Source organism: Homo sapiens, chromosome 20, assembly GCF_000001405.40.
Source record: "Homo sapiens chromosome 20, GRCh38.p14 Primary Assembly".
Lineage (NCBI taxonomy): Eukaryota > Metazoa > Chordata > Mammalia > Primates > Hominidae > Homo > Homo sapiens.
This window is the reverse complement of record NC_000020.11, coordinates 50527956-50554836: the sequence shown is the minus strand read 5'-3', so window position 1 is coordinate 50554836 and position 26881 is coordinate 50527956. Positions and strand designations below refer to the sequence as shown.

The 26881-nt window shown below is 41.5% G+C and overlaps 1 protein-coding gene across 2 annotated transcripts in view, besides 6 other annotated features; it reads right to left on the bottom strand.

The window, feature by feature from the left end:
• The window catches only part of PTPN1 (protein tyrosine phosphatase non-receptor type 1), a 74859-nt gene that overhangs the window by 30405 nt on the left and 17573 nt on the right, over window positions 1-26881 (bottom strand). The window lies entirely within an intron of this gene.
• Window positions 331-625: a silencer, noted in NCBI's record as "tiled region #13607; HepG2 Repressive non-DNase unmatched - State 15:Elon". NCBI's record gives its function as "represses a minimal TATA promoter and a strong SV40 promoter by Sharpr-MPRA in HepG2 cells {active_cell/tissue: HepG2}" and the evidence as "EXISTENCE:reporter gene assay evidence [ECO:0000049][PMID:27701403]".
• Window positions 12755-13255: an enhancer, noted in NCBI's record as "H3K27ac hESC enhancer chr20:49158119-49158619 (GRCh37/hg19 assembly coordinates)". NCBI's record gives its function as "activates a minimal SCP1, AML or CMV promoter by ChIP-STARR-seq in primed H9 embryonic stem cells {active_cell/tissue: H9 hESC(primed)}" and the evidence as "EXISTENCE:reporter gene assay evidence [ECO:0000049][PMID:30033119]".
• Window positions 12755-14302: a biological region, named in NCBI's record as "BRD4-independent group 4 enhancer GRCh37_chr20:49157072-49158271".
• Window positions 12786-12835: an enhancer, noted in NCBI's record as "active region_18092". NCBI's record gives its function as "activates an Ori minimal core promoter by ATAC-STARR-seq in GM12878 lymphoblastoid cells {active_cell/tissue: GM12878}" and the evidence as "EXISTENCE:reporter gene assay evidence [ECO:0000049][PMID:35858748]".
• Window positions 13103-14302: an enhancer, noted in NCBI's record as "BRD4-independent group 4 enhancer chr20:49157072-49158271 (GRCh37/hg19 assembly coordinates)". NCBI's record gives its function as "activates an origin of replication core promoter dependent on BRD2, P300/CBP, MED14 and CDK7 cofactors, and independent of BRD4, by STARR-seq in HCT116 cells {active_cell/tissue: HCT116}" and the evidence as "EXISTENCE:reporter gene assay evidence [ECO:0000049][PMID:35650434]".
• Window positions 13256-13756: an enhancer, noted in NCBI's record as "H3K27ac hESC enhancer chr20:49157618-49158118 (GRCh37/hg19 assembly coordinates)". NCBI's record gives its function as "activates a minimal SCP1, AML or CMV promoter by ChIP-STARR-seq in primed H9 embryonic stem cells {active_cell/tissue: H9 hESC(primed)}" and the evidence as "EXISTENCE:reporter gene assay evidence [ECO:0000049][PMID:30033119]".

The following is a 26881-nucleotide window of genomic DNA, read 5'->3' as shown; positions in this document are numbered from 1 at the left end:
ATCTTATCTCCACCATTGGCACATTAGCCATATCTCTTTATTTTCATTTTTTAGTGTTCTATTTGGTTTACAATATGCATCGAATTCACGATGGTCTACTTTCAAATAATAGTGCATTTTACCAAAAATACGACAACAGCATTTGTCCACTTATCCTTTATGCTATTATCATACATTTTTTATTTCTATGTTATAAATATGATGTATTTTTATTTTTGCTTTAAATAAATTTTAAAATAAAAATATATTTCATATTTATCTATGTATGTCACTTTTAGCAATCCTCATTCTTTAGTATATATCCAAATTTCCATCTTTTATCATTTCTCTTCTGTTTCAAGGACTTCCTTTTTTTTATGCTAGTCTGCTGGCAACAAATTCTCTGCCTTTATTTTTTCCCCAAATAAGTCGTTATTTCACTGCCTTTTGAGAGAGAGAGAGAGAGAGAGAGAGAGATGTGGTCTTGCTGTTGCCTAGGCTGGAGTGCAGTGATGCAGTCCTAGCTCACTCCAGCCTTGAACTACTGGGCTCAGGCAATCCTCCCTTCTTAGCCTCCAGGCTAGCTAGAGTTACAGGTGTGGACCTCCACATCCAGCTAATTTATTTCATTTTATTTTTTGTAGAGACAGGGTCTGGCTATGTTGCCCAAGCAGATCTCAAGCAATCCTCCTGACTCAGGCTCCCAAAGTGCTGGGATTGCAGGCATGAGACAGTGTGCCAGGCCTACTGTGGTTTTGTTTATTTTGCTGAAGGTTTGTTGAAATGCTTGAATCTGTAGGCTTATAGTTTTCATTAAACCTGGAAAAAACTTGAACCTTATTCCTTCAAGTATTTTGGGGGCAGACTTGTTTAATATTGTTCCATATGTCACTGAGGCACCCCCCAATCCACATTTTTTTCCTCTCTGTACTTCCCTTGGGTATATTCTCATATAGATGCTGTTTTTTTCTTCTGCAGTGCCTAAACTATTAATCCTATCCAGCTAAATTCTCATTTCAGATATTGTATTTTTCTTCTTTAGAAATGGTATTCGGTTGTTTTTCTTCCATTATCCTCATTATGTTGTTTTTCTTTAAATCTGCTAAGTTATTTATAATAGCTGTTTTAATGTCCTTATCTGCTAATTTATCATCTGTCATTTCTGGGCTTGCTTCTAATGTCTGATTTTTCTTCTAGCTATGCATCACATTGTTTACTTATTATTATTACTTTTTGCATATCTGATGGTTTTCGGTTGAATGTTTCTACCAAATATCCTACGTATTACAGAGGTCTGTCTCTCTCCGTTCTGGCCGATGCAAGCTTGAATGAGTGCTGGGAATTATCCACTCCCCAACAGTTGTTCTTTATCCAAGCTCATGAAGAGACACCCTACAAAGTGTACACTGTATCCAGCCAGACTCAAGGTGATCCCTTTGCAGATTTCTGGAGTTCTTTCTGTCATAGCCTGCTCATCCTTAGTACCCTGCTCTGCAAATCCTAGCCATTTCAGCCTCCTTTGAACCCCAATCTGCCTCCTAAATTCAGCAAGATCGCCAGGCAGAAAGTTCATCCTAGCGCTCATCCCTTTCCAGTCTACTAAGGTAATGCTTTTATTATCACTCTATAGTTTTCGTATTAGTCACCAGACAAAAATTAGATATCAGAGTGTCAACATTTATTCAACAAATATAAAGGGCCTACTGTGTGTCAGGCACTGTTTTGAATATTGGAGCTACAGCAAAGAACCAAACATAAAAATTCCTTCCTTTATAGAATTTACCTTCTATGAGAGACAGAGAGAGACAGAGAGACAAAATATATGTCAGCTGATAAGTACTAAATTGAAAAATCAAGTAGAGGAAATAAAAGGAGAAGGTTGGGCAGATTATTTTTTTATAATAAGTAGGATGGTCACAAAAGACCTTCCAGTAAAAGTGACACTGGAACAGAGATCTGATGAAGGTGAGGGAGTGAGCCATGGGAATGTTTGGAGGGGAATATTCCAGGTAGGAGGACGCACGGCATGTCTGAGGAAGAGAAGAAAGCCATTGTGGTGGGAGTGAGGGGCAAAGTGGTGGAGATGAAGCTGCAGGTCAGGGAGAGCATGCTGGATCCCAGAACAGGTATATTAGCACTATACCTGGCTAGTTAAAAAAAAAAAAAAAATTTTTTTTTTCCTGTTTGTAGAGATGAGGTCTCATTATATTACCCAGTTTGAGGCTGGTCTCAAACTCCTGGGCTCAAATAATTCTCCAGTCTCAGCCTCCCATAGTGCTGAGATTACAGGCATGAGCCACTGCACCTGGCTGAGGATTTCTGATCACAGCAGTAAGTGGATCCCTTCTGGCTGCTACGCGCAGATGGGATTGCAGGGATCAATGGTGTAAGGAAGGATACAGTCAGGAAACTAAGGTAACAATGCAGCAAAGGATGCTGTGGCTGAAACCACAGTGACAGTAACAGAAGAGGTGAGAAGGGGTCAGTTTCTGGATAATTTATTAGAAATCAGTTTCTGGCGAATCCCTCATCTTTCTCTACTTTAGAATGGTATATGGAAAACACACACATACTCTGAGTACAAGTCTTTATATTTCATTTTGTAAGATAAAATGCCAGGCTTAGAGTCTTAAAATTGAGGGGTGATAGGACCTACGCAATTAAAGGTAACTATAACATTAATGGTTTGGAAGAAAGTAAGTAGACTACCGTACCGTAACAGCAAAACGAGATTTCTGTATTCTACAACTGTATCACAGGGGAGCTACGTTTCCAACAGCTATAGAAAAAGCAGATTCATGACTAATGAACACATTTAACTAGCCTTCCACTGCAAGCAAAAAATGTCCCTAGAAGATCTTTTATTATGCTAACCAAAGATTAAATAACTACTTCTAATCTACTGAATGTGTAAAATTTCCACAGAGAAAACAAAATAAAATAAAAGCCTTTAAAACCGATTAAGATGACTGCTGGGTAAACTGATGAGCCAAACCAAAAGGGAATAATAAACTTGCCATGAAACAGATTCCCAGAAGAGTCCCCTGAACAAAAACACTAAAGATGTCAGGAGTCATTCAGTGTGTGCCTCAGCATTTCAGGGCTGGATCACACTAAATTAGAAATTTTACCAATGGGAAATAGTATCAACAGGTAACAAACAGGTTCTTTACGGATCTCTCCTTCCCCCAGTCCACACCTCAGTGGTTTTTTAAGAGCCTCCTTTCTCTTAGTGTAGATTTCAGAAATGTGATAGAATAAAACGCCACACATCATAGATGTCAAATGTGTACGGCTCTCCCAGAGTGCACGCCTGATCATGTGCTCCTGAAGCAGGCTTGGGTGTGCCCAAAGCTTACAGGTAAATGGTTTCCATTTCACTGTATCATTTTACATAGGCATCAGGCACACAAAGTGATCTGAATCATTTCTGTGGTAAACCATTGTCATGAGAGAAAAAAGCAAGTCCTTCCAAAGTTATGATTTAGCTAGGCTAGGAAGATTCACAAGCACTTGATCAAGTTTAAACAAAGCATCTGCTGAGCTGGAGATTTTAAAAGGGGCAAGGAGGGGCAGAAACCTTCTTCACCTGAATAGTTTTTATAGCTCTTCCTCATTTCCCATCCTTCCCCACTCATTTAAGAAGGTAACAGATGATCTCCCAATGAACACAAAGGGGTAACATGCTTACAAAACTCTGGTAACAGAATGAATTAGAGCCTGGAGTTAATTAATTTTTATATTTATTCAGGAAAGCTCATTATCCATTATTCAGACACCTCCCAAACTCAATTAGGCAAAAAGTCAAACTTGGGTGAAAAGCTGGCAATATTTGATTAGAGATTTCTATTTCTCCTGAAAACACACAGGCATAAAAGCCAGTTTATCCTTGCGGAAATATTTCCATGTTTATATTAAGCACTTCATCAAGTGAAACATCACAATCTGGGTTTAACACCCTTCTCCTCGGTCCACAACTGGGTGAATGTCTCTTACGGGCTCCATGGTAAAATGCATTACTCATTTTAAAGCTATCTGCTAAGTGAAGAAGTAGAGGCAGCAACCCATTAGCAGCCAGGAGTCTGAGAAGAAGTGCTTTGGACTCTCATCTTAGTGTCCCCTCCTAACACAGGCCCAGGCCCAGGGTAGGCACTCAACATAATTTTGTTAACTGAATCAATGGATACTTCAAAGGTTCCCAAAGCTTGAAGTGTCCTTAACAATATACCAACATTCTTTATAGAACAGAAGTGCTCCTGAAAGGGAATGTGTATAAGCAAATATCTGATCCAATCCTATTTTCTCAATTACTTGTTACAAAATGGAAATTACTGAAATCACATTTATTTTATTTATTTGCAGTTGACCCACACAGCCTTCTGACCAAACAGTGTCAAAATAGTTACTAAAACATGGATTCAAAGCAGAAAGAGTAATTTTTGAAAGTGATCTCTGTTTTAAAAGTCTGAAGGAATAAAAAATTCCAAGGGTACCTTTTACTCACTGGAACTTCAGGGAACTACAAAGTCCCTTAGCACCCATCACATCTTCTAAGATCTCCCGGAACCTCCATTCTACAAATGGTTATCTAATTTGATTGTTCGGGTTGTTACCTGGTTCTTCAGGGAAGCTACTGGCTTTCAGAAATGTACAGACAGAGCTAGATTGAAGGGAAATGCAGAAATATAGTAAAGGCAATGATTTAAAATGCAGTAAGTGAACACACAGTGTACATTTCCTGGAACTCTTGCAGTAGTCGCTGAATAGGGAGATATATATAGAAGGGGGGGTGGGGTAACTAGCATAAAATTTTAGAAACCAGATCTTCAAAGTAATGCATGTTGAACAAATTTTGTTAATCACAAATCTCATTATAAATGAGAAAATTTCTATGTAACAAAGTATACTCCGAGGAATATACAAATCATCAGAGGTTCAATGTCTTCCAGGTCAAAAGCAATGCTATATATGAAAGTTAATGAAACGATATAATTTACTACAAAAACCTTAGGAAAATATTTTTATTATATTTATGTGTACATTCATATAAGCAATATGAAATAAATCATATACTTAATATGAAATGCTAAGATAAACTACACTGTTTAATAATAAAGAAAAAGCTTAAAATTAAGCTAATCAGTACCAAGTCTGTTTTGGTTTAAATTTTAAAATGACTATGTACTGAATAAGAACACATACTAAAAAGCAAACCAGAATCTTTTGGTTTGGTGATAGTTGAATGAAAGACAGGGGTTGAGGGGAGGAAGGGGCAAAACTGGTCAGCATTGAAAAGGCAGCAGGATACCAAGTAACTGTCCCTGCCACAGCTGGAGGAAGCGTTGGGTCCGCTTGTACAGTGGTCTGGGGCAAGGTTAATAGATAATGGAGCTACAAGTCACTAACAGAACAATTATGTGCACTTGGAAAACTACGTGGAAAAAAAACAATCAACTGCTTTACAAACTCCCCACAAATCAAGGGATAAGGGCAGGAATGAGGGCATGAAAAATGCTTCGTGAAACTGGCATGGAGACCTTCTGGTGGAGAGGGTGGGGCTGCTTTCACACTCTGATGTACACCCACTGCTCCAAATATAAAACAATGGTCAATTAAATTTAGAGAAAACCATAAAGGCACAGCTAGGCTCAAAAACAGCATGAGAATAAAAACAAAACAAAAGGCTCCCAACTCAAAATGACCTAGAAGCAAGGTATCAAACACAGAAGACAACTAGTTAGTTCTACAAATGATAACCAACAAATCAACTAGAACAAAAATCCATTCCATATGCAATTTATTGTATAGCTTGTTGGGGACTTTAAAAATAAACATACTTGGGCCAAGCGTGGTGGCTCATGCCTGTAATCCCAGCACTTTGGGAGGCCAAGGCGGGCGGATCACTTCAGGTCACAAGTTCAAGACCAGCCTGGCCAACAGGGTAAAACCCCGCCTGTACTAAAAACACAAAAATTAGCTAGGTGTGGTGGCACGCAACTGTAACCCCAGGTACTCAGGAGGCTGAGGCAAGAGAATCGCATGAACCCAGGAGGCAGAGGTTGCAGTGAGCTGGGATTGTGCCACTGCACTACAGCCTGGGCACGACAGAGCGAGACTCCCTCTCAAATTAGAATAAATAAATAAACATACTTGGCCAGGTGCAGTGGTTCACACCTATAATCTCAGCACTTCAGGAGGCCAAGAAGGGCAGATCACATGAGCCCAGGAATTCAAGACCAGCCTGGGCAACATAGTAAGACAAATCAGCTGGGTGTGGCGGCTCTCACACCTGTATTCCTAGCTACCTGGGAGGCTGAGGTGGGAAGGTCGCTTGAGTCCAAGTAGTTGAGGCTGCAGTGAGCTATGACTATGTCACTGCACTCCGGCCTGGTGGCAGAGTAAGACCCTGTCTCAATAAAAAAAAAAAAGAATCAAATAAGCAATTAAATATACTTAAGATTAGAAATACATGAAGGAATCGTGTATAAAAAAGATGTTATGAATAAAAACAGGAAGAAGTAAAACCAGAACAAGGAGATGTGACTGAAGAAATGAGAAATCCTGGAAATAAATGAATAATCATGAAAATTTTTTAAAAAACCTTAAGAGATAGGATAAACGCTAGACTAAGCCCAGTCAAAGCATGAGCAAATTGAAAGCTACTACAGAGAAATGCGCCCAGGATGCAGCATGAAGAATTACGAAACACAAAACGGAGCAGTTCAGAGGCAAGGGGGACAGATGGACTCCAGTCCACACCTCAAAATAAGCAGCACTGAGACACGGAGGCAAACGGTCAAGCTGCAGGATGTTGAGAATAAAAAAAAATCTTCAAAGTAAATTACAATATTGTTTGGAAGCTTAATAGAGCATTAACATGGTCATTTACTTAATTTTTTTAAAACTCTACAGTTATGCAGCCATTTAAGATAAGAAACTCTTAAAAATACAATAAAAAGGGACCATTGTCATTGATGGTGACCCTAAATCGTTTATAAAGCAAAGCCACTTTATATGTGTGTGGCTAATAGCTAGTTTTGATTCCCTGAGGCCTGATGTAGTTTCAGAACTGAAAAATTATTTTCCAGCTAGAATGAGATTCATCTAGAAATGGGGTATCCTATCTTTAAGAAAATACTGTTGTCAGTGAAAGCAACATATTGACATAGTGGTCTACCACTGAAAAATTTTAACACGGCCGGGTGCAGTGGCTCACGCCTGTAATCCCAGCACTTTGGGAGGCCGAGGCAGGCGGATCACAAGGTCAGGAGTTTGAGACCAGCCTGACCAGCATAGTGAAACCCCGTCTCTACTAAAAATACAAAAATTAGCCGGGCGTGGTGGCGCACACCTATAATCCCAGCTACTCGGGAGGCTGAGGCAGGAGAATCGCTTGAACCCGGGAGGCAGAGGTTGCAGTGAGCCGAGATCATACCATTGCACTCTAGCCTGGGTGACAGAGCGAGACTCTCAAAAAAAAAAAAGTTAATGCAGATAAAATGAATTTGGGCCTTAAACCAGAATTTAGAAACAGCACACCAACTTCATTATAGTAAGCTTCTAGAGCCTTTGTTTATATTATTTATACAAAGAATCAGAATAGAATCGTTACCAAAGGTATAAAAATTGCTTTTTCAAGTGTCCCGACTTTAAATCTTATTTTTACCGTCCCTAATAGTGTCTGCTTTTAAAAAATCACTTATGCTTTCTGTTAAATGTCATGAATTTCACCTTGGGTAGAAATCAATAGGCAGAAAATGAATCAGACTTACAGTAATTGATGTCAATAAAACATATTGGAACCACTATTTTTTTTAAAATGCTGAGAACCACAAAACCATTCCTGTAAGAGAACAGTCTAAAAAATTAAATCTACTTTCACTTCTGTTTTGTTTACCTTCTGCTTTCCATAATGACAGCTTAAGAACTTCAGGCCCTGGGCTTCTGCTGTTTGCCGGAGGACAGTGGTACAGTTGACTAAGGACACATGTAGTTGGCAGACATCTGCAAGTGGAAGGCTCACAGCTTTCCTCACCGGGAATCAGACTATCAATCACCAGCTGCTGCCCTCCATGGTCCCAGGGAGAAAGGTATCATAGGAATCCACATGATACTCCTACCCTGAAGTATGGAGAACCATCCTCACAAAACTAGGATGATACTTTGGTGCACAATTTGGAGTGTGAATGGGAGGAAAATAGAACATCAAAATGAAACTGGCTTTGGTTAAGAATTTCGTTTGTATTCCAAGAGTGGCACAAGATTCTGCTACCAGGACCAAGGAAAAGGCATATGTATTATTATCAACCAAATGAGTTTATAAAGTACTTTCTAGATGTAGTGTACTTTTCTACATACCATCTGAGGGGTAAGGATGAAGAAGGAACAAAGAATAAAATACGACCAATGCCCAAAATTATTTGAAGTGAGAGTGCTTCAGTGAAGCCACAACAATAAAAAGACAATCTGGGGAAGAGAGGAAGCAGGCAACCAAGCTCCTCTGTGTGGCTTTCCAAAGAACTCCCCATATGCATTAAGAAAGCAAGGTTCAGATTCAATGCATTAATCCCTTCAATTCATCCAAATATCGACTGAGCATCAACTATGTGGCAAGCACTAAGCATATGAAGATTAACAAGAAAGACAAAAGACCTGCCCTCACAGAGCCTGCGCTTCAGGGGGGAAGACAGTCAAACAGATGTCTGAGCTAGGCGATGTTACATGCAACCCTCATAAACGCTACCATCCCTGCTGCCAACAAGTGTCCCAAACACAAGGGATCTAATCACTTTTTTTAATTCTTCTTCTTTCTTTTCGAGACAGGACCTGTCTCGCTCTGTCACCTAGAGTGGAGTGCAGTGGCACAATAAGGGCTCACTGAAGCCTCGACTTCTAGGGCTCAGGTGATCCTCCCACCTCAGCCAACTGGGTAGCTGAGACTACAGGCACCACGCACTACGTTCCACCATGCCTGGCTCATTGTTTCTATTTTTTTGTAGAGACGGGGGGAGGGGGGGTCTCGCTATGCTGCCTGGGCTGGTCTTGAACTCCTGGGCTCAAGCGATCTGCCTGCCTTGGCCTCCCAAAGTGCTGGGATTACAGGTGTGAGCCACCGAGCTCAGCCAGACCACTCTTATTAAGGCAGAATGAATCGTTCAAAGGCCACAACCTCTAGCTGCACCTCCATCTTTCTTTTTGCTTCTTCCTGGGTATTAAGAGTTCTGGCACTGAAATGTGCCTAAGAACAATGGTACCAGGCTGTACACGTAAAACCACGTGCATCATACATTATGAGCAGTTTAAGGATAACTTGGTCTACATACAGATTTCTCATCTTTTTCAGACTAATCCATGAGGGAGATGCAACTCCACTAACATAGCGCTAATTTAGGATATTGCTGAATAAACAGCAAAGATTTAAAATCATCAGTTCAGTGAGTGCTTACTATTTACTATGCCAAGATGGGTTATGCCTTGTCATGACGTTACAAGAAACACAACCCATTTTAGCCTACAGCCTGTGGTTTCCTATTGTCTTCCCCACTACGAAGGCATGCAATGTTCAGGGTGACTCGAAATTCCTACTCAAGAAAAAGTATCTGGGCCAGGTGCAGTGGCTGATGCCTGTAATCCCAACACTTTGGGGGGCTGACGTAGAAGGATCACTTGAGCTCAGGAGTTTGGAACCAGCCTAGACAACATAGGCAATATAAATAAAATAAATAAAATAAAAATAAAAAGACATTGTACCTCTTGATGGGAATCACACTCAGCAACTTGCAGAGAGGTGGGAGAAACCTGTGGCTACTTCTGCTAACAATCTAATGTTATTTTATTTATCATGATTATTATTACTTTTTGAGACAGAGTTTCACCCAGGCTGGAGTGCAGTGGTGCAATTTATGCTCACTGCAGCCTCTACCTCCTGGGCTCAAGCAATTCTCATGCCTCAGCCTTCCAAGTAGCTGGGATTACAGGTGTGTGCCACCACACCCAGCTAATTATTTCTAGTTTTAGTAGAGACGGGGTTTCACTGTGTTGGCCAGGCTAGTCTCGAACTCCTGACCTCAGGTGATCCGCCCACCTCAGCCTCCCAAAGTGTGAAAGAGATAAATACCCCAGCTCCTTGCTTCTCAGGTACGGCAATGTGAAGGCATGGCCCTTGCAGTCTCTCGGACGTCCCCAGTGGGTTTGAGCCCCGCTGGCCCAGTGGGAACCTGCTCCTTCATGTCCCTTCCCAGACATAGTGATTTGTTTCTTTCTGTCCTTTGCCTTCTAATCTTTTGGAATGTTAGTGTTTTTCTCATTCATATAAGCTCTTTACGTATTTTAAAACCATCAACTCTTTATCTTTATTGGAAATCACTTTTCCAACTTATCTGTTTGCACATTTAAAAAATCAGGCAGGGCGCAATGGCTTACACCTGTAATACCAGCACTTTGGGAGGCCAAGGGAGGAGGATTGCTTGGGCCCAGGAGTTCGAGACCAGCCTGGGCAACATGGTGAAACCTCATCTCTACAAAAATAAAAATAAAACAAGTAGCTGGGTGTGGTGGTACATGTCTGTGGTCCCAGCTACTCGGGACGCTGAGGTGGGAGGATCCCTTGAGGCCCAGAAGTCAAGGCTGCAGTTAGCCATGATTGGGCCACTGTACTTCAGCCTGGGCAACAGTAAGATCTTGTTTTAAAAAAAATTAATACTGAAACAATTTAGTCCAGGCGCGGTGGCTCATGCCTGTAATCCCAGCACTTTGGGAGGCCGAGGCAGGCGGATCACGAGGTCAGGAGTTTGAGATCAGCCTGGACAACATGGTGAAACCCTGTCTCTACTAAAAATACAAATATTAGCCAGGAGTGGTGGCCCATGCCTGTAATCCCAGCTACTCGGGAGGCTGAGGCAGGAGAATTGCTTGAACTCAGGAAGCGGAGGTTGTAGCGAGCCGAGATTGCACCATTGCACTCCAGCCTGGGTGACAGAGTGAGACTCTGTCTCAAAAAAAAAAAGTTTAAAAGTTTTTAATTTTTATGTATTCCAACCTATTGACCCTTTCCTCTGCAATTTCCTTTATTGCTTCTAAAAGTAGAAAGTCTTCTTCTTCGATATTGGAATACCACTTTTTTAAAAAAAGCATTTAACATTAAACCATCAGAGTCTATTTTCCTTCTACCATCTTCAACTATGCCCATTATATTGCCTTTACGTCTCATACTATGCTGAGAATAGGTGCTTCTTCTGGCTTGGTCAGCTTAACACAGTTCTACTATGCTTGGTGTCTTCTTTGTGTTTGTGTATTTCAGCAGCTCGAAAGGCTGCATCCTCCTCCCTCTCCCGAAATTCAAATAGTAACAAAATGCAGCTGCATCCGGTAGTTCTGATTTCAGAATGAACACATCACTATTTTTCAGAGATAGACAAACTATTATAATTAGATAGAGTTGGTTTTTAAGAAGATGATGCAGGTTACCTTCATTCTTTGCAACTATTTAGCAAATTAAAGGTCAAGAGGAACACAAGATATCAAAATATACGGAATTTTTAAAACCTACAATAGTATTTTTGTAGTTAAAATAAATACTGCTCCTTTGTCCTTCTGTAAGGAAAGAATGGGCAGGATGGCTCTGGTATAAACATTTCCCCCTTCCCCCATATTTATGTTGTGTATAAACTTGCAGTAAAATACAAGAAAATATTGAAAACATTAAATTGTTCCTGTTTATCATGTTCATAAGCAGATCTTTAAAACAAAGAAAGCATAGCTCTCCATGGCAGTTATCTGACTTCTAAACTCCAGGGGAAGCAAGTTGTATTTTATCAAATATATTTAATTAAGAAGCCATGTTCAGAGTACCTATTTCATATAATAGGCATAACAGAAAAATCTCAACAAATTAATATATCTTACCACTTCCTCAACATATTTAGTAAAATGGGATTTTAAAAAAGTATTCTTATCTCTTTCCTCTCTAGTCACAAGCCTTGGGCAACAGATGCAAGATCTTTTGGTCATCTGCCTTCTTAGAACGGAATACATAAAAAATAAATTGTCTATACAATGGAAGCAGGCAGTAAACCTTTGCTAATAACATATGATCAATTTTGAGAAGCTTTTGAAGGCTGAGGGATGCCAAATCCTTTCTTAAAAGGGCTTGCTCAATATCTCAAAGCCACAACTACAACTATATAGGAACCAAAATCCATATACCTATTGCTAGAAACAGATCCGGGGCCACTATTATTACATGAATAACTTAGGCCTTATAAACAACTATTGCAGAGATAATATCCTTTAAAGACATTACACAATTGGCTATACACTCTTCCTCCAAAGCTCATGAAATGACAACATCTAAGTTAGGTTAAGAGGAAAACAAAGCTTTCCCTAGGACCTGCAAAAATCAGGATGAACAAAGAACTTTAGGAACATTAAATCTAGTCAGATTTTCATGCAACAGCAGTACATAAACTCGGGGAAAAAAATCACTATTAGAATGTGTCTTTCCTACTGTGCTAAAAATCAATCTTCGCAAGATTACTCAAAGCAAACCATATAAAATTTCACTAAGATACATTCATCTTGTGCTCTTGTTTAAGAAGACAAGATAGCTAGAAGGCCAGAATTGTAAAACTCTTTTAAAGTAACTGGTTTTACCCAATCCCCTAGGTATATTAAGGCAATATGATGCCAAAGCCAAGTTTTAAGGATCACCTTCAGAGTGAAGACCACATTGTACTTGCAGCCAATTTTTGTCCTTGCATTTCAAGTTATGCCAAGTGTTGATGGGTCAGGTAGTAATGTCATGGTCCCTGTCCTCAATGAGTTCCCACTGTGGCCACAAATAGTGTTGAGTAGAAAGTACTGATCAGAGGGGAAGTCTATTCTACAGGAAGAAGGGAAAAACATCAAGGTTGGCTAGTAAAAACGAGAGTAGCAAATTTAGGAGTAATTGCAGAGCAGTCACATCTGGTGCAAAGGAAAGAGGAAGCTTCCAGGCACCACTGACCTGCTACCTCTCCTTGCCGACTTTGGTTGGCCTCAATGGGTGGTAATAAATCATACAGCTATGTCCAAGCTGCTTCCCCTAGTCTGTTCCGGCACTGTTGCTTCAAAGGAAACCTCAGCAATGAGGGCCAGGGTGGAGAAGGGACGGCCATTCTGAGGCTAGAGCAACCTCAGAAGCCTGCTGCTTGTGTCACTCTGCAGGTTCTTGCCATCACACAAAAGGTCAGAAAGGAGAGAGGAAGCTCACGCCATACTACGATGACCTGCGACCGGGTCTGGTTTGCCCAGGCTCTTAGAAAGGAACATGGGACACATGTACAACTGTTAAACATCTTGCCACTGTTCACCAAGCCTGGAGAGGCTTCCCAGAAGAGATGACAGAAGAGCTGTCCCGTACATCTCAAAGGAGCCGACACTCGTAGGTCTAGCTTGGTCATCAGCACAGCACAATTATGCAGACATTGGGCTCTCCATAAGGATTTACTGAATGAGTGTGCCAAACCGGTCAGAAAGAACCAAGGTGAAAGCAGTGGATTTGGATTGAGAAAATAGACATAGCATGATGATGACGATGGCAAACAAAATAAGAACCGCATAAGAAAGTACCAGTGACCAAGTCAACTTTGAGAACTTTCTCTGTTCTCTCCCTTGACCTCCTTAACAGAAGGCTCATGGGGCATTTTCTAGCAGTGAGTAATTTCCTGCTGATATCCAGGGAATGCTGGGTGTTGAGAGAAACATTTCTCGGAAGAATGTGCCTCTTCACCTCTACTTCTCCTGCAGGTCGCACTGTTTTCTGATGTGGTACATTCCTGAGACGGAATGTAGTACATTCTATCTGACACAGAATCTAGGCTCCCCACAGCCTCCTTGCAAACTAGGGACTGAGCAGGTGGATGGCTAGGATATCAAGAAGGTTTTCACATGGAGCCCTGAAACAAGCCAGATAGAGACCTAGTATAATCCACAGCATTCCCAGTGGCAGGAGGACCCAATCAAGACACAACAGAACTCTCTGTGCAAACACTATTCAGGCAGGGGTGGCAAGCACTGTCTTCCCAGCTCCCTGTGCCTCGAAGAGCTCACCATGATGATTAGCTCCCTAGAGGCTGGACTCTTGAGTACTTGGCAGGCTGATGGGCACCTCTGCTGAACCCTGGACGGTAGCAGCTTATTTCCTGGATATTTTGCCTTTCTACCTGAGTCCAAAGTATAGGTGGTACTTGCTCCTCCAATCCCTGAGTGACATGGTTTGTAGTTTTGCCCCCTCCAAATCTCACGTTGAAATGTGATCCCCAATGTTAAAAATGGACCTAGTAGGAGGTGTCTGGGTCACGGGGCCAGATCCTTCATGAACGGCTTGATGCCGTCCTCATGGTAATGAGTTATCACTCTATGAGTTCATGTAAGAGCTGGTTGTTTAAAAAAGCCTGGCACCACCCCCTTCTCTCTCATAATTTTTCTGTTAAGTTTAAATGTATGTTTTTAAAATTTTTAATAAGGCTGGGCACAGTGGCTCACGCCTGTAATCCCAGCACTTTGGGAGGCTGAGGCGGGCAGATCACGAGGTCAGGAGTTCAAGACCAGCCTGACCAACATGGAGAAACCCTGTCTCTACTAAAAATACAAAAAATTAGCTGGGCGTGGTGGCGCATGCCTGTAATCCCAGCTACTTGGGAGACTGAGGCAGGAGAATCACTTGAACCTGGGAGGCGGAGGTTGCAGTGAGCCGAGATCACGCCATTGCACTCCAGCCTGGGCAACAAGAGCGAAACTCTGTCTCGAAAAAAAAATTTTTTTTTAATAAATGAAGTTTAAAAAAGTGAGAGGAAGTGAAAGAAACAGACGACAGGCAAAGAAGATCAAACATACACATAACAGGCTGAGTTCCTGAAGAAGGAAACCCAAGCAATGTACCAGACGAAAAACGGAAAACTCTAATTCAAGATTTTCCTGAAATTAAAAAAAAAAGATTTAAAACTACATATTGAAAGAGCACATGGATTTTTGAGGGAGAACAACCCAAAACAGCCAACACCAAGACATGGTTGCATAAATGATGAGACTTTGAATTAAAAGGTTAAAAAAATCCTTTGTTCCTCAAGCCCAGGAGTTCAAAACTTCAGTAAGCTCTGACTGCCTCACTGCACTAAAGCCTGGGCAACAGGGTGAGATCCTGTCTGTTTAAAAAAAAAAAAAAAAAAAAAAAAAGAGAGAAAGAGGGAAAAAATCCTTTGGGCACATAGACAAAAAACCCTAAGTCACTTATAAGCAAAAGATAATTAGACTGTCAAACATTTACAGCAATGCTTTATACCAGAAGACAACAGAATAACATATTTACCTTAAAGAAAGAAAATGTGATCCAAACATTTTTATATACAGACCAAATGGCCTTAAAATAATAGGCTGCTGACAAACTATTATGAATATGTACTGTTGATTCACAGAAGATTGTTCCCACAAGCCCTTCCTGAGGAATCTAGTGCAGAAAGAGCTTCAGGAAGAATTGAGAGAAGAGGCTGGGCGCGGTGGCTCACGCCTGGAATCCCAGCACTTTGGAAGGCTGAGGCAGGTGGATCACCTGAGGTCGGGAGTTTGAGACCAGCCTGGCCAACATGGAAGAAACCTTGTCTCTACTAAAAATACAAAATTTGCCAGGGGTGGTGGCACGTGACTGTAATCCCAGCTACTCAGGAGGCTGAGGCAGGAGAGTCGCTTAAACCCAGAAGGTGGAGGTTGCGGTGAGCCGAAATCGTGCCGTTGCACTCCAGCCTGGGCAACAAGAGCGAAACTCTTTCTCAAAAAAAAAAAAAAAAAAAAAAAAAAGAATTGAGAAGAACTTAGAGTGAGCATTAATATTTACTAGTAGGTCTAAGATAGAAGGATGTAAGGGAGACAACACTCTATACTACAGCTATGTCCGAGGCAGAGGCACAGAACAGGACGAGTTTGTGAAAAGTAAAACAATCTTGCTTATTGCTTTTATAGGTAGCAGCTAGGAATACTTCAAATCAGACTCTGGAGGAGGGTGAAAGAAGGGAGAAGAAATGAATATTAGCTAACTTCAACACTGCTCACAAAAGGGAATCACAACAACAGCCAAACACTGAGAAGATGAAGGGCATATAATAAAGATAATAGTATAGAAGCAACTATTAGAAAACACAAATGTTCCTAAATGCCAAAAGATTTAATGATTTATAAAATTTCTTCTCATATTATACAAATAACATGTCCAGTGTATATAATACAAAGATATAACAATAACCTAACCAGTGTTCACAGTCTGGCAGTGCCTACTCTTCCCCACTCTTCTCCAAACACACGCAAACGTAAACAGCGAATTCTTACTGCTTGTTTTTACACAGAAAGGATCACACTGTACACATCACTCTGACAGTCACACCTAACTAGTTTTTCTTCTCAGGTCCTTGCTGTTTGCTTGTATAGCCCCTTGGCCGTTTTATCTCCTGTTTCTACATTTTTTTTCCAGCTGACTTTCTGGTCAGTGTGCTTGTAGCTACCCCATGCAACCTGACAACCAGCTTCTCTTCTGTCCTTTTCATGCTTTCTCAACTCCAAATACTCTAACACAACTTCCTTTTCACATTTCTGTTTTTTTTTTTTTAACTTTTTACAACACCCTCAAATCAAAACTCGGGATTGTTTTCTGATTATAAAGGTACTGTGTTTCCATTTAGAAAATTCAAGCAACACTGAAAACCAGGAAGTATAAATCAACTGACCACCTATGTACCAACCAGGGTGCTGAGTATCTTTTCGGTTATTTGTTCCCCAGAGAGGCAGCCAGTGGAGAAAGCTCGATGGCCTATTACCACCTGAGAACAACATCCACTCAAGATGAAGAGCAAAAGCTCAAAGCCTCCTCTGTTGCTGGAACTTTCCCCATGTTTATTCTTCTACTTACTCTACTCTGCTTAAATTACGGGCCATTTGACATGTACATTACTGTCAGGCCTTTTTCAGACATTGCTGATGCTTCAGTCCATTTTGAACGGCATTCAATGGTTCTCTGTTGGTTAGGTATCATCCAGCATACCTTTCAGCACCCAGGGTAACTATAAACTGGCTAAACCGTATCTAAACAATCAACAGGCTTATAAAGTACAAGCAGATTGGCAATTCTGTTTTCAATCTCATTTCTCTTACAGGTAGCTGCTTTCTTAAAACAGGTTTAAAGAAAACATACAAGGGTATGACGGAGATATGATTAGGAGAGGGAATGCTTTTTGAGGGCAGAACAAAACAACCTAGAATTGAATCACATTAAAAACAGCTTTATAATAAAAGAGTATTGAAAACACAATGCATACACACGTGGATACGAGTAACACTGGGGAAATATGAATAAGATGAGCAGACTGTATCAATGTCAGTATTGTGGTTGTGATACTGTACTGCAGTTCTGCAAAATGTTATGGGCAGTGGATGGGGGAACTAGGCAAAGCGCACATGGGATCTCTCTGTTTTATTTTTAAAGTTTATTTATTATTATTATTATTATTTTTGAGATGCAGTCTTGCTCTTGTTGCCCAGGCTGGAGTGGAATGGTACCATCTCGGCTCACTGCAACCTCTGCCTCCGGAGTTCAAACGATTCTCCTGCCTCAGCCTCCCAACTAGCTGGGATTACAGGTGCCCGCCACCACACCCAGCTAATTTTTGTATTTTTAGTAGAGACAGGGTTTCGCCATGTTGGCCAGTCTGGTCTCAAACTCCTGACCTCATGATCTGCCTGCCTCGGCCTCCCAAAGTGCTGGGATTACAGGCGTGAGCCACCGCGCTCAGCTCTGTATTATTTCTTTCAACTGCACAGGAATCTACAATTATGTCAACAACAATTTTAACTAAAATATATGATTGGCAAAATATAGATCAAAATGTTTAGAGTGCTTATAAGCTGCAGTGATAGGAATAAAGAAAAATTTTACTTTTTTTGTTTTCTACAGTAAACATGAAATATAGCATAAAAATAGAAAAGTAAGTATTTCTTAACAAGAGGTAAAAAGATATAATCAAGACTTGGGACATGTAAAAAATATTTTATAAAATCTCAAGGAATATAAGTAAAGGGAATACAGGACTGTTCAACAAATTACAGGATTCTAAGTTATTAAAAACATCCTTAAAATTAAAAAAATCTGGGTAAACAAAGGGGAGGGCCTATGTATAGTGGTAAAACATTAACTTAAGGAAATGGTATGTCAGGAGGCGATGTGCTCTAGGGACCAATGTTCTGGCCACACGCCTTCCCTGTGTTCTTTAGAATTGCTAAGCCACTTCTAATCACATCATTCTTTAAGCCTTGCTTAAGTGCCCAAGGACCACTTCAAACAAGCTCAAAGCTCCTTTGTAAACACTTGCATTGCATCTTTTATTTTTCTTTCCCAGCACTCCTCCACAATTAAAATTAATCATTTGTGTGACTGTTTCAGGTTGGTCTTCCTCTTATAATTATAAAAGAGGCCATTGGTACACGTTTCTGATCAGCACACCGCCTGGCAACTGCATTCACGGAATACATTTTTAAATGAAGTAAGCGCCAACATAAATTATATGAATATACAGATGGCTATCACACTGCCTTATAGGGAAAAGTAAGACTCTTCTGTTCAAGAATAACTGTTAGGTAGGTAGATGACTCTCAAGAGCTGAGTCTTCAATAAGGCTTTATTTAATTTCACAAACATTTCTGAAGGATTTATGGAGGTATCCCATCTTATGTGGTGACTAAATCCTACAGTTAGATATGAGGTAAAATTTGCACACAATCAAAATTAACCTCAGGAAAACATACCTTAAATTGCCAGCATCTAAGCCTTACACATTTTAATGCCTAGATTTTAACCTCTTTTCTCTTTTCAACTGATACCTCCCTTTCCCCAGAGGATATCAAGGTGTGGTTTGATACTGGCAATGTAGTATTCAAGGAATTTCTTTCTCTCTATTTGGGGGTGGGGGACGGGGACCAGTACATATGGTTTAATTAAGGAAGGCTAAATGTATATACGACACAAGACCACAGGGTGACTGAACATTAGGTACTGAGGATACAAAGATGTGAAAGGCAATCCCCATGTTCCTATAGGGTTCACATTCTAGCTAAAAAGAAAGTAATGTATAAGCAACCAAATAAAAATATTAATTCATATAAAATGTCTAAGCATTAAAAAGGAAAAGCATGTTGCAAAATCCTATTTTGCCTGTCAGAAGCTAAACACTGTTCTTTCTAGCAGCTTGCTTTCTGTAACCAAATCCTAACTTTCCCCTAAGCAGATGGAGTCCTAAGGCGAATTAGGGCAAAGTTAACGTGGTCACGGAGGCAACAGAGAAAAGAGTATTCATAATAAAATATTTCCCATACTACAAAAAAGAGGGGATTCAATAGAAAGGACAGCTCAGTGTAGGAAGAGGGAGGCACGTGCTCCGCTGAGGCAGGGGCTGTGAATAGAATGGTGGGTGGCTCCGCAGGCAGAAGACACAGCATCAGTAAAGACAGAATGTGGAGCATGCGCTGCAGGTGTACGGGGACCTGGCCAGGAGATCAAGGGAGTGCCTTTATCCAGGCATGCCTTCAGCACCTGTGTTAGGAATCTGGAGGTAACACCCTCATCAATGGGGAATGGAAGTTTTCAAGTAGGACAGTGATACATAACATGTCCTCCCATGAAAGATACAGCAGAAAGGAAGGACCTGAACCAGCTGAAGGCGACTTTGAAGACCACAGATGAGAAGGGCCTGAACTAAGGCTTGGGAAGGAAGTGAAGGAAAGAGTTTCAGACATACATCCCAAGAATAAAATTGGGCCTGTAATTCCAGCACTTTGGGAGGCCAATGCAGGAGGACCGCCTGAAGGCAGGAGTTCCGCCTGAAGGCAGGAGTTCAAGGCCAGCCTGAGCAACAGTGAGACTCTGTCTCTATAAAAAATAAAAATAAAAAGTTAGCTGGGCATGGTAGCAAGAGCCTGTAGCCCCAGCTACTCCAGAGGCTGACGTGGGAGGATCATTTGAGCCCAGGAATTTGAGGTTACAGTAAGCTATGATTGCACCACTGCACTCCAGCCTGGGTGACAAAGCAAGACTGCATCTCTTTAAAAAAAAAAGGATAAGGATTAAGTTGGAGGACTTGGCAGTCAACTGGATGTCAGAGTAAATTAGAGTTGAAGATTACTTTAGGTTTTGAGTTAGAGTAACTAAGGAATAGATACAAATATTAACTTATAAACATGCCACTGACTTTATAATTACTCAATGTATTTCTCAATACAGCAAAAGAAAAAAAAATTACAGTAAAAACAAAAATCAAGCTTACAAGCAGATAAAGCAGTCCTCTACGTTACAAAATACACCTTCCAAACAAAAGCAGCAGAAAGCTTACAGAATACATTAGAAAACATATAAAATCTTATGGTTACTGACTTCTAATATATTTTAAAATAATGCAGCATATTTTCACGGTAAAAAAATGGCGTAAGTGCTTGAGTGATTTTCTGGCAAAAATAATTAAATGTGTTTCAAGGAACTGCTGGTAAGTCAGAGCAAGAAAATCTAAAGTCTCATTTGGATTAAATTTGCTAAAAGCAGAAAGTGCTATTTAATATGACAGCTTCGGCCGGGTGCAGTGGCTAACACCTGTAATCCCAACACTTTGGGAGGCTGAGGTGGGCAGATCTTGAGGTCAGGAGTTCGAAACCAGACTGACCAACATGGTGAAACCCTGTCTCTAATACAAAAATCAGTCTGGCATGGTGGCGCATGCCTGTAATTCCCAGCTACTCAGGAGGCTGAGGCAGGAGAATCGCTTGAACTCGGGAGGCGGAGGTTGCAGTGAGCCGAGATCGCGCCATTGCACTTTAGCCTGGGCAAGAGAGAAAGACTCCATCTCAAAAACAAAAATAAAAAATAAGACAGCTTCTATAGCCAGACAATCTGCTCCTCTTCTGTGCTCATAACTATTAAGGAGAAAAAAAAATCACGGAAGCTTCCATCATTCTCTGCCAGAAGGCACTTGTGGAACAATCTGGAGTTCTAGCGAGCAGCCCTGTTCCACCTCCAGCCTCACCTGACCTATCTTCTTGGTTACAGTGATGCCCGACTGAACCTTTCGGAAGTGGTACATCAAATCTTCCTTTCTGGGGGGGGGCAAGGGTGTCCCTTTCTGCTGAGAAGTGAAACAGCAGCCACCAAGTCAGGGACAAAAAGCCTCATGTGAACAAGCAAGGGGCCTCCAGCTCTCGACGAGCCAGCTGAAAAGAGCGGGCTTCTACATGGAAATCCCTTAGTCTGCATCTTCACTGGCTAGCAATTGAAAGCTCTTGCATTTCAGCAGTGTTTGGCTGAGGACAGAAATGGGGTACAGGCTGAGTGCATCCAGGCTGGGGGCGGGGGGCAGGGGGCAGTGGGTAATGTGATGTCTCCCAGAGATGAGAGCTCCCAAGACAAGTTGGAAGCCCTCTGTACAGTTATGTACTGCCATGAAAAGGTCTTATCTGAAAACTAATCTTAAATAAGAAATATAGTCAAAGGAGGCAATGTAAACTCTAGAGGCTGTTATTTTCTGCAACATGATATACAATGGAGAATTAGATGGAAATGCGTGTATGGTTTACAAGATTAGTCATCTGGGATTCTACAACCTCTCATAGCAAAATTAGTATGTAATAACTCTGCCACAACATTTAGATTTAGAAATTCGCTAGAACACCTCAAAAAAACTATATATTTATTTCAAAATCAGGAGAGTCTGATAGGATATTCAGTTGTAGACCAGAGGCAAAAACCCTGGTCAAAAGCAGAAAAAAAAAAAAAGTGATATTAGAGGAACAAAACAGGGCAATACCTGCAGACCCCAGGAGAAAACAAAAGGGGATAATGAAGACAGCCAGGCCCAAAAAGTGTTCCTGGAAGCTACTGATCTCCAACCCAGCAATTCCAGCCTAATCCTATTTCTCAGGGCTCTAATCTATGCCCTGCATACCTGGACCCAGTCTGTACTCCAAAATTCATGGGAATGAAACTTAATTGGAAATGATAAAACCAATTCCAGTGCCAGGATTGCAGGAAAAGGGATCTATGAACACACACCCACCCACACATAGACAGACACACACACACACCCCATCATCCACATGGAGCCCAGAATGTTTTTTATTCATACAATCATTATTATGTATAATATTAAATACCATACATACAAATCATTAACATAGTTCTATGGGGGAATTACATATTAATTGGAATACTGCAGGTATATTGCAGATTATATAGGTTCTACGGACTCATTTGGGATTTAACCACCATTCACAACACGGATTCTACAGGACAATACAATCAGAGCTCCAGAGAACCAACTTTCCAACTTTTCAAGCATGACACATTTGTGCGTTAAGGACTGTCTGTACTTTCATGCTTGATTACCATTTTGACTCTATGTCAGCCAAAAAAGTCCATCTGAGCAACATTCGCTGAACCGACCCAAAGAAGATTTAAGGGGACACTCTGTAAATAATAAACTGTGAACCTCACAAGCTAGGTACTCCATGACATGTAAGACTAGCCATGGCTTTTACCCAAAGCCTCTCGATTTAAAACAGATTATATGAGGATATTTAAAAAACAAACTCATGGACACAAAGTTTTGCCACAAAAACCTGCTGTTCTATTTTGCAGGCCATTGTAGTTAGTTTTTCAGCTGTTTGTTAACATCTCTATCATCCATCCTCTTCAACTGGCATTGGTAGGTTACAGATCTCCCCTTAAATACAGAGGTAGAAAGTACAACTACAGACAGATTCCATACCAGAAGACGCAGTTTATTACTAGTCTGCAGCCAATCCCAGGTCACAAGGCGCACATGTGGAGAACCACAGGGCTACCATGGTTACCATGCGCGTAGCCAACACCACATGCCCTGCAGCCTTATAGGGAAGTAGCCCTAAGATCCCACATGTCAGTAATTGCTAGTGGTAGCCGTGGTACCACTAGCGGGGAGAGGATGGTAAGGAGAGAAGCAGGACGAAGAGTATGGCCGTGGATGGGGACTCAATAACACACAGAGAGCGACCGGGGGCCAGAGCAAGCACAGTGGAGCCCAGCATACTGGAATACAAAGGCTCACTACTTCCCACATTGTCCACGACAGCTTCTATAAGACTCCCTGCCAGGCACAGTGGCTCACGCCTGTAATCCCAGCACTTTGGGAGGCTGAGGCAGACAGATCACCTGAGGTCAGGAGTTTGAGACCAGCCTGGCCAACATGGTGAAACCCCGTTTCTACCAAAAATACAAAAATTAGCTGGGCATGGTGGCGGGAGCCTGAAATCCCAGCTACTAAGGAGGCTGAGGCAGGAGAATAGCTTGAACTCGGGAGGCGGAGGTTGCAGTGAGCTGAGATTGTGCCACTGCACTCCAGCCTGGGTGACAGAGCGAGACTCAGTCTCAAAAAACAAACAAACAAAAAAAGACTCCCACCAACAACCCCGCCTTGAAGGTTTTATTTCTACTTTGTCCTCAACTGTCCCACCTCTGGCCTTCAATCTCATTAAAAGGCATTTTTATGTTTAAAAACACTCAGTAAATAGAACTGAGGATTCAGAACCACAGTCTAAACGAGAGAAGCAGAATGAAAGCTGGTGAGTGTGGTGGTCTGGAGAGGAACTACCTACTCTGTTCAAACTCAGTTACTCTGATGACAGGCAATCAAAGGCTCCAGGAAAGTAGCCCATCAGAGGAAAGACGCTGGACCAGAAGAAAAGGGTTCCCTTCAGGTCCCAGGTCTGCTCTGGGACCACTAATAAGGCTGGGTCTCAGTTCACTTAAAAAACAATCCTTGGCCAGGTGCAGTGGCTTGTCCCTGTAATCCCAACATTTTGGGAGGTCAAGGCAGGAGGACTGCTTGAGCCCAAGAGTTGTAGACTAGCCTGGGCAAAATAGCGAGACCCTGTCCCTACAAAAAATAAAAAATAAAAAAACAATTAGCTGGGCACAGTGGTACATGCCTGTAGTCTCAGTTACTTGGGAGGCTGAGGCAGGAGGATCATTCGAGCCCAGGAGGTTAAGGCTGCCAGTGAGTTTTGACTGTGACACTGCACTCCAGCCTGGGTGACAGAGTGAAACTCTGTCTCAAAAAGAAAAAAAAAAAAAAAATTGGCCAGGCGTGGTGGCTCACGCTTGTAATCCCAGCACTTGTAATCCCAGCAGTTGTAATCCCAGCACTTTGGGAGGCCGAGGAGGGTGGATCACGGGGTCAAGAGATCAAGACCATCCTGACCAACATGGTGAAACCCTGTCTCTACTAAAAATACAAAAATTAGCTGGGCATGGTGGCATGTGCCTGTAGTCCCAGCTACTCAGGAGGCTGAGGCAGGAGATTCGCTTGAACCTAGGAGGCGGGGAGGCTGCAGTGAGCCAAGATCGCGCCACCATACTCCAGCCTGGTGACAGAGCAAGACTCCATCTCAAGAAAAGAAAAACAAATTAAAACATTTTTTAAAAAAGCAATCTTTGCTCCAAGTCATTTACTGCAAGGGGTTTTACTGTTAAAATAAGTAACAGAAAGTTCACTGCACACTGTGAAATTAAGTGCTTTTATTCTAAATTCAATTACATTCACGTAAAGTTCCAGTTAAAACAAACCTAAAAAAAAAAAAAAAAAAAAAATCAGCCAGGCACAGTGGCTAAGGCCTGTAATCCCAGCACTTTGGGAGGCCAAGGCAGGTGGATCACCTGAGGTCAGGAGTTCAAGACCAGCCTAGCCAACATGGTGAAACCTGTCTCTACTAAAAATACAAATATTAGCCAGGTGTAGTGGCACCCGCCTGTAATCCCAGCTACTCCAGAGGCTGAGGCACGAGAATCGCTTGAACCTGGGAGGCGGAGGTTGCACTGAGCCGAGATTGAGCCACTGCACTCCAGCCTGGGCGACAGAGCAAGACTCTGTCTCAAAAATAATGATAATGATAATAATAATAAATCAAATATAACAAGAAGCCAAACCAACACTAAAAATCCCTTTTTCACAAGAATAGACATGTCATCAGCTCAAAGCTATAAAGCCCAACTTGCCTAGTCAAGAACAAGTTTTTGACTAAGTTTATGTTTATATCTTCCTTCTCTATTCAATTAATACCATTCATTTCACAAAGATCCAGGAGATGGGGGGAAAGTTGAGATCCACAAATAACAGAATAATCTTCAGGGCTGAACTAAGGATAATATATTAAGAAAAAAGTTAAAAACAAAAACAATGATTTGGTTTCAGACGCAAAAGTGTCATCTGCTCAGAACTTTTGCTATAAACTTTCTGGCAAGATCAAAATCTCAGGAAATTCCAAACCAGTAAAAGTTTAAAGACAAATTACTTAGGAAAAATGATCTAACTTTGGAGACCCAAGCATGCTCCTCCCATTGTCATCCAGTTTTTACTTTTATATTGGACTACCAAACCCACCACAAAATCATAGCTAACAAGAGCTTTGCTTCCTGCAACTTGAAAAATCTCTGGCTTTTAATAAATGCCTCTATTTCCTGTCAGCACTGGTCAGTCCCAGCTACAAAACCTACGAAGTTTGAATGAGAGAGACTCTCTCATACCACTGATGTCTCTCATACTTGGCCAGCACACTGGAACATAAGACTAATAAGCCACAGGGAAACTACCTCTCCAGAGTGGCATGGTCTGTGCAGGGCATGGAGGCAGGGCCAGCTGATGAAGACATGGACTGCTTCGAGATAAGACTTAGCTCCATCGAGCATTAACATAACTGGGATCAGATCCACTGAAACGAAGTCCAATTCCATGCAAGGCACCATGAGGGAGCCACCAAGCATTACACACAGTTCTCGCTGAGAAATGGTATACAATCTCATGGGGGGAAAACACCACATACAGAAAATTACTATAAAAAGGAACAGAGAAAACAAAGTGTAAAATCTAAATTGATCCTGGGTAACACATGGTTCAACACAATACCATCAACTCAAAGCCTCCCTAGCAATCACGGTTTCCAATTCATGAACCTTCTAAACAGCATTCTCATCTATTCATTCAGGAACTACTTATTGGGTATTTTCTTTCTTTTTTCTTTTTTTTTTTTTTTAAGATGGAGTCTTTTTTTTTTTTAAGATGGAGTCTCACTCTGTCACCCAGGCTGGAGTGCAGTGGAGTGATCTCAGCTCACTGCAACCTCCACCTCCCCAGTTCAAGTGATTCTCCTGCCTCAGCCTCCCAAGTAGCTGGGACTACAGGCACCCGCCACCACGCCTGGCTAATTTTTGTATTTTTAGTAGAGACAGGGTTTCACCATGTTGGCCAGGCTGGTCTCAAACTCCTGACCTCAAGTGATCCGCCCACCTCAGCCTACCAAAGTGCTCGGATTACAGGTATGAGCCACTGCGACTGGCCTTGTTGGGTATTTTCTATATGCCAAACACTATATTGGGTACTAAGAGATACAAATGACTAGAACAAAAGCAGCCCCGCCCTTTATAAGACTTGATAGATTACTTGGCAATAGGTAAGTAAACAGGCTATTACAGAGCAATGCGTGTTATTACAGTATACTCAGACATGGTGCTATGAAAGGAGGCCTTCAGAGGGCCATGGGAGGACCTAGACAAGGCAGTTAACTTGGACCTGTGGAAAGGGGAAATCAGAGAAAGCTTCCCAGAAGAAATGTACAAAATGTGACTGGAAAGAAGAACGAGAATCAGTTAAGTAAAAGGTAGGATATTCCAGGCAGAGGAAACAGCATATGCAAGGCTCCATGAGAGGCAAAGACCACCACAATTTCAGGAACAAAGTGCCTCTGAAGGCTGTCCCATAGTGCACAGTGTATGTGTGCACACTGAATTCAAGGGCCGATGCTACATCCTGGGTGA